The 7,792-nt window shown below is 36.2% G+C and overlaps 1 long non-coding RNA gene across 1 annotated transcript; it reads right to left on the bottom strand.

The window, feature by feature from the left end:
* Positions 1-434: 434 nt before the first annotated feature.
* LOC124904455 (uncharacterized) lies at positions 435-4,558 on the bottom strand. Its single transcript, XR_007066730.1, has 2 exons — positions 4,282-4,558; positions 435-630 (listed from the first exon to the last, which is right to left on the bottom strand). It is a non-coding gene; the product is annotated as an uncharacterized LOC124904455 (long non-coding RNA).
* Between the last annotated feature and the right edge of the window lie 3,234 nt (positions 4,559-7,792).

The following is a 7,792-nucleotide window of genomic DNA, read 5'->3' as shown; positions in this document are numbered from 1 at the left end:
GTTTTGAGACTGGGTATATGACACAAGAACTCAAGCTCCTTAGATTACATTTGACTTCCAAAGGATTTTAAGCTTGTTGAATAAAGCAGCCATATCTTATTCAGAACCACTTTGCATGTGCCTTGGTGCCTAGTATAATACAGGGCAAAGAGTAGACATGTAATCAATACCTGTGGAGCTGAATTGCTTCCAACTGTTACCCATACTCTAAGTGAATCAAGAACATTTCTCCAGGAAAATGTGACTTTAGGCACTAGGAACCACAATTGATTCACAAAAACAAGGCATACCAAAGACACGTTTTTCCTTTCTTAATATTATTAGAGCAGTTGTTCATAAAAAACCATAGACATAATATCTCTTTAATAAGGCTTTAGACAAGTTGAATACTTATGATGGTTTTAGACGTAAATAACAGACAATCTAAATCAAACTGGCTTCAACAATGAGTACATTTATTGGCCCACATGCTTGGCAGCGTGTATCAGAATTCATTGATCCAGCAGTTTAGTAATATGATCAAGGATCCAGGTTTTATTTTGTCTTTCTGTGCTAACAACATTGTTGGCTTCATCTTGTAGGTAAGTTGTCCAGTAGTCGAAAATAGGCTACATGTTCTCTCATTCATATCTGGAAAGAAAAAATGAGCAAACAGTTCTCAAGCACTGAACATAATTTTCCTTTCATAATGTTCCCACTTCTTAACGAGTAATTGTCATCAATGGAACACTATGCACGGATAGGTTCCAGTTAGGGATCCTGGCAAGGGGTGGGTTTTATGACTGGAGTTGAGGTCAGTTCCTCAAACTTTATTGCTTCTACACAGGGGTGGGAGTGGAATGGGGAAAGCATGATGGAGACTCAGTCACTATGTCCCCAGCTAAGATTATTATGTTCATGGAAAGATGTAGACTTTAGACTGGATGATATAGTTGGGTTGATTATTAACTGATTAAATTGCTGCACGACTAACAAACTAGAAAGTGAGGTGACATGTCATATACTCCAGGAATCTTCCCTTCCTTTACCTTACCAGCCTAAATTGGGGGAATATGTCCCTCCACTCTGCTTTTATACAGAACTATGCACAGTGTATGAATTATATATTTATATGACAATTCTCCAACCCAACTATAAGGCTGTTGAAAGCAGGAGCTGTGCCTTATCCATCTTCCTGGCCTCAACACATAGCACAGAACCTGAAGTGTGATAAGGAGCTCAGTGTTCAAATATTAGTTCATAAACAATCAATAAGTAGAAGTTTCAGCAAGGAAGATTTCAAGTCCTCATATGTGTGAAAAGAAAACTTTCTAACAATAAATGTGTTATGTAAATTACCAGCAGTCTTCAATCACTTAACTATAAAGAGGATGGATGTTGGATTAAGATACCATTAAAGCCTCTTTTAATCCTGGAATTCAGTGATTTTCTGAGCTTACTAGTGGTGATCACAATATATACTTGATGATGGAGTATTACATTAATGGCCCAGATACCTCCCAGATAGAAGTCAGGACATCTGAGGGGTGGGAAGGTACTATAGCCAACTGTTTGGCTCCTGAGAATTTGAATCTTCTTTCTGAGCCATGATCTTTACAAAGGGAGCATATTCCATTCTCCTTGCCAGCGGTGATAAGCATTTTTTTGCAGATTGTGATCTGGCATGAACTTGGCATTCTTTGTCTACTTAAAAGTCAGATGCCAAGACAATGAGAAAGATAACTGAAAAAAGCTCATGAGCCAATACAGTACCATGGATGGGGGTGGCATTTCTCAATAGCTTGAGAATTTTTAGCTCTAGTGACCTTTCAGAAAGAGAATAAATAAAAGCAGAAGTCAACGTGGCAGACACTCAATGTTCTCCTAGTGCCGAGTACTGGGCAGGCCCTCTGGTTAGGTGGATAGTAAATATAAGGAGACAAAATTCTGGCCTACAATAAAGTTCAGAGTTAAGGTGGGTATTTGCAAAACACGCACACACACACACACACACACACACACACACAATGTGAAAAATGTACAAAATGACATCCAAGACAGCAAAGGAAGTGACAGGGCAATATTATATTCAGGAATATATTACCCCTACACTCACCTCTTAAACTATCCTAACGTGTTTTCAGAGGGAAATTCATTCCTCTCTAATTGCTTCCAACACGGGCACTTCACTCCACCCTATTAGAACTTACCTTTGTGTAAGGTGTAAACCCTTTGACTACCCTAAAAATGAGAAAGAAGAGGCTTGATTTTCTTGTAGAGCCCTGAAATGCTTCATGGCCAAAAAAGCAAATCTATGGGGATAAAGCACACTCCACGTCAGGGAGGGAATTATTCTCAAAGGGCTTTTCAGAGGCAGGAATTTTGGGTAGAGAGAGAACTTGCTGGAAATGAGGAGGTATGAATTTTAGTTCTTCTTCTGCTATAATCTAGATAGACGAATATGTAGAAGTCATGGCATCTCTCTTGACTTCAGTTTCCTGCCTTATGGAGATAGCTAATTCTAGAATATTTAAAAATTGGGTATTATTGAGGATGTTCAACTTTTCACTTTGCCAAGTATGGGCCATTAAAAGGAAAAAGCTAACAAATAAGCAGCAAAATAGAAACTGTCATCAAACTCTATCATTATTTAACAAATGAAAGGACACTTTAGCACCAAAAAAAGTAAGGAAATTATCCCACATTTTAAAAAATAAAATTTAAAACTTAGCTTTATGTCAATGCCTTCAAATTTGCCTTTGTCTATCTTTTTTCTTCATGGGAAAGTGAAAATTTTGCCATAGCTTTCATATGGGAACCTCAGAAGTAAGCCTGCTTATATTTCTGTCCTGTGCTATCATGCTGGCATGCTGTGACCCTGGACAGCATACTGGACATTGAGTAGTAAGTCCAGGGATACAGAAGGGGAATTCAAAGCCATATTGCACAGCAATGAGGTTCAGCACTGAGAGAATAATCCAAATTCATTATTGAACTATTACTGTGTGCTAGGTCCTCTTCTGGGTGATGGAATTCCACAGAGAACAAAACAGACACAGACCTGCCTTCACGGAGCTTATGTCCTAGTTAAAGGAAAAAGGTTATTTACAGATACACAAGCAAATTGTAGTATATCACATCATCTTAAATACTCTAGAGAAAAATACAGCAGAGTGAGTATGACAAATCCACTCAAGTGTGAAAAGTGTTCAGGGAAGGTCTCTGAGCAGAGCCCAGAAGGAAAGGAAGGGAATGAGCCACATAAATGTTCTAAGGGAAGAACCTTATTGGCACAGAGAATAATAACTATAAATGTCCTTAAGCAAGTGTGCTTGATATATAGTTGAGGAACAGCTAAGCATGGAAGTTAAGGCACAAAGAAAATGAGGTCAGAGGTGATTGAGGGCCAGATCACATAGGACCTTATAAGCTCCAGCAAGGACGGACTTTTCTCTGAGTGAATGGTGAACCATTGGAGGTCATGGAGCAGAGGAGTGACTTAGTCTGACTTGTGTTTTAATAAAATTGCTCTGTTTACTATATACAAAGCCTCTATGTGGACAAAGGTAGAAAAAGAAAACTGAGTCAATGCTTTAATTTCCAGTCTTGGAAATGATAAAGAATATTAATAACAGAGAGATAAAGGAGACATCTGAAAAGTACCATTGTATTGTTGTTGCTGCTGCTTTCAGAGTTGAGAAAACAGGGGAAAATATGTTATTAAATAGGGAAATGGCTAACATTTGGAAATACATTTCTAAACCGTATATATTATAGACACACACATATATATTGACTTCATATACAACACATAACTAAAAAACCCTTGTCCTCTAGCTTTTCCAAAGCTAATGTTTTCTAATTTTAGGTTTTTTAAGGCTTTCCTTCTTATTTTTACTTTTATTAGCTCATTATTTTATATATTTTATGGGAACCCTGTATATTAGTCAGGATGTGCTAGGTTATGCTGCAGCAACAAACAAACCTCACAATCTTGATGGCATACCACAATAAAGGTGTATATCCAATGTGAATCAGTAAACAGACTCTGATCATCTTGGTTACCTAGAGACCAGATTAAGAGACACTCCATTTCAACATTTGGATTCACAATTGCTGAGGTAGGGAAAAGATACATAACAAATTCTATACTGGCTTTTAGATCTTCTGCTCAGAAGTAATGCACACTGTTTTCCTTCACATGTCATTGGTATAAGTCATACAATCATGTCTAACTTCAAATGAGGCAGGAAAATGCAATTGTGTCATGTACCTAGAAGAATAAGAGGTGGAAAAACAAACCTGAATAGTCCTACTGACTCCCACAGTCTGGCTTTTTGTTTCTGATTGGATCTCAGCTATTTCTTGCCCTCATCTTTCCAGTTTGAGTGTCCTCCTGCCAGTCTTCCCTGTTTATCTCAGTTGGAATTTTTATGACCTATAAATTCCCAAATCACTCATGCCACTCATATGACATTGGACATTTCCTTATATTGTAGTTTTTGTACATACACTTAACTGGCATCTGATATTCTGAATGCCCAGCTATCTTTTTCTTTACTCTAGTAGGGTGATCCTTATTGTCAGGAAATTGATCCAAAGAAGTCCTAGAGAAAATATCTCTGCCAAGCAAGATATTTGACCAGCAAGCAATTCCAGATATTCTCTGCTGTCTGAAGCCCAGCAAATTTAACGTCATCATTTGCTTGCTAGCAATGGAAAAGCAATACCATTGAGTGTTTCATCTTTAGACTGAGGCATTGGTAAGTCTCAGGGTACCACCTTGAGCAATACTGATAGACTTCCAACTCTGAGGACACTCTGTCTTAAACAAAAATTGTTTATGTTTTCCGGGTCAGGGACTAATATCCATATGTCATCTCACTATCAGAATATCATCTTTGATTTTTCTTTCTTTATTACATTTCAGAGATTTATGACTATGTAGTACTGACAAGAAGAAGTACAAAACTGCTGCAGCCCCCACAAACAGGGCCCCATCTTTGCTAAGTTGTTAAAACAATTATCTGCTTTATTAAAAGTAATGTCTCATTTTAGTTAAGTGACAGGTGTTACAGATTGCTATTTTTGCTTTCAGCAGCCCCATAAAAGGAGTGTGAAAGAACAATAGAGCAAATGCCAGGATAGATCATGTAATCCTTGGAAGGATTTGGGAGGAAAAAAGTTAGGTTTTAAAATAGAGACTTGTCCATATGCTATGACTAGAAATATGTCTTTTCATTTGCTTTACTACTTAGGAAACTTTTTGCAAGTGATTTTTTCATTTTTCTCTCCTTCTCATACTGCAACCCAATACTTTGCCTCCTAGAGGAGGCATAAACAAATATTTTTCCAATACACAAAAATCATAACAGACTTGCATATTCTACCCAACAGGTGGCATTGCTGTTTTACAAATGGCTCTAGAACGAACACTGCAGCTAAGCCGTCAACGTTGGGTTTGGTTTTTGTTGTCTTTGTTTTCTTTTTAATCCCATCTATTTTTCGTAGAAGAGGGCAGATAGGAGAAGTACAAATATTCTTTTGAGAAGCCCTTTGGCTTTAAGAAGACATATATGGCTAATGAGTCATTTGGGAACATTAGTTCTGTAAGAAACATCTAACTTTTCCTTTTTGATCTCTCTGGATGAGTTGAGAAAGAATGGTTTGTTTTCTCTATTTCTGTCAGTGACCAATTCATACCAGTTGAATTTACAAATTAATTCACTAAATCATTTATGCATTTAGACAGTGGCAGTTGCAGAGTCTGGCTTTCATACTTACTGTACAAGGCTAGAAACATCAGGAGCTACAGAAGAAAAATAAGACCCTATCTTCTCCAAAATTTTTACCCTAATTGAGATAAAACATATATCTACTCCACTACCAATAATCCAGGCAACATGCTCTCATTTGGGGGCACTCATGGTTAAAAATGAAAGCTAATAGTCAGTGAGAAGGTACTGTATGCTAGACACTCTTCCAAGGCTTTATTTGATTCTCACTGCAATCCTATGGAGTAGGTACTATAATTATCCTCATTTTATCATTGAGAAATTTAAGACCTGAGGCCGAGTCATGGCAGAACTGAGATTTAAATCCAGACAGTGTGACTCCAGGTATAATAACAGCTGATACTTACTAAGTATTCATCATAAGCCAAGCAAGTGTTTATGTCCTTTGTACACATTAGGTTAATTAATTTTCATGCTAACATTTTAAACTAGGTATTAACCATTATCATTACATTATTTTCTTATAAGGGTTTAATTGCCTTTCCTAAAAAATATAAATGCATTTATCTCTCAATTCCTTAAAAATAAACTGAGATTTGTGTAAACATATATTGATTAACATCAGACAATGAAATTCCAGAACTCTAGTAATTTACTAAGTGTCATAAAAGTGTGCATTTTTTCCATAAGATACATCAGTTACATTTCAACAAGCATTTTAGTAGAAGTTTAAAAATATTTACTTATAATACTTTATTGCTTCCTCTTTGGAAAAAAAACTATATTTTCGGCTGTGAGAAGAGTTGCCAAATGACTAATTAGCGTCTCTGAAAGTTTGTCCATTTTGTTTCATCAATGTACCACAAAGCCTTTAAAATAGGAAAACATTTATTTAAAGTAAGAAATTACAGGTGCATGCACACACACACACACACACACACACACACAGCCCCCACTCAACTGATTAAAAAATAACAAATATTTTTCTATTCATAAAAAGACAAACAAAAAACATATAAACTTCAATAATTTATACCATTTCTTTGGTTGAAAGCAACCACAGAACGTTTTAGTTAAAAAAAAAATTCCTGAGGAAGGTGGGGTTGAGGAAGAACAGCAAAAAAAGTAAGAGAGAAATTTCGGCATGCTTTGATTTCTAACCATGATATAGATTAGCAAGAACATGAAAATATAATAATCTTATTTAGAATTTTACCGAACCACTTTGACAGCTTATTTCATGAACTTTCAAGTATTTTTCGTCATTGTTGAGGAATGGGATATTCTGGTTAATACTTGCCATGGGTTCTTATTAACTCAATAGAGCCGAGTTTCAGGATTCCTAATTAGACATCTGGCTGCTTTACATGGAAGCTGAAAAGATTTTATTTTTTAAGGGAAGTGACTAAGTGTTGTAAATACACATTTTTAATTTCTGCTAAAATACTAGAAGAAATACTACTGTTTCTCCCTTATTGCAAATTAGAGCTATAATAAATTGCTAGGATTCTGTAGTTTGTCTGAAATTAAATTAGTATCTAAATATTTGCCCAAACCTTAAGTCAGAGTTCAAATGCAAAACTTTTTCTTATAATTCCCATGCCTATTTTCAACGGTTGAGAGGCAATGCCTTCATATTTATTCTTAAAAAAAAAAACACCCAACATAAAGGAGAAAAAACTTTGACATAATTTTAGATTCATACAGGGGAAATCTGTGGCTCCCTACACAGCTGAAGATCTGTTTTTTAGGAGCTTGTGAAGCATCTCCATAAGTTTGATTCCTTCATTTTCTAATCAGAGGGAACACAGCATAGAGTCATCAGTGGGTAACACATATAGAACCCTGCCCTGATGTTTTTCAGCTTTCTTTGTTCTCTGGTAAAACCTTAAAACCAAGTCTAATTTTACTTCAACCACTTATATCTTCCAGAATTTTTTAGATGCTTCCTAGGGAAAATTATCTATTCAAGAGGCAATGTGGGATGAGAAAGGGGATGTTTTGAGGTTTTTCAGACAATGGCTCTCTGAAAAATTAGAAAGGCTGATAGCCCAAATCAACAAGCTGTGGGGATGCAA

Source organism: Homo sapiens, chromosome 1 (genome assembly GCF_000001405.40).
Source record: "Homo sapiens chromosome 1, GRCh38.p14 Primary Assembly".
Taxonomy (NCBI): domain Eukaryota; kingdom Metazoa; phylum Chordata; class Mammalia; order Primates; family Hominidae; genus Homo; species Homo sapiens.
The sequence above is the reverse complement of the archived record's forward strand: the minus strand, read 5'-3'. Positions and strand labels throughout refer to the sequence as shown.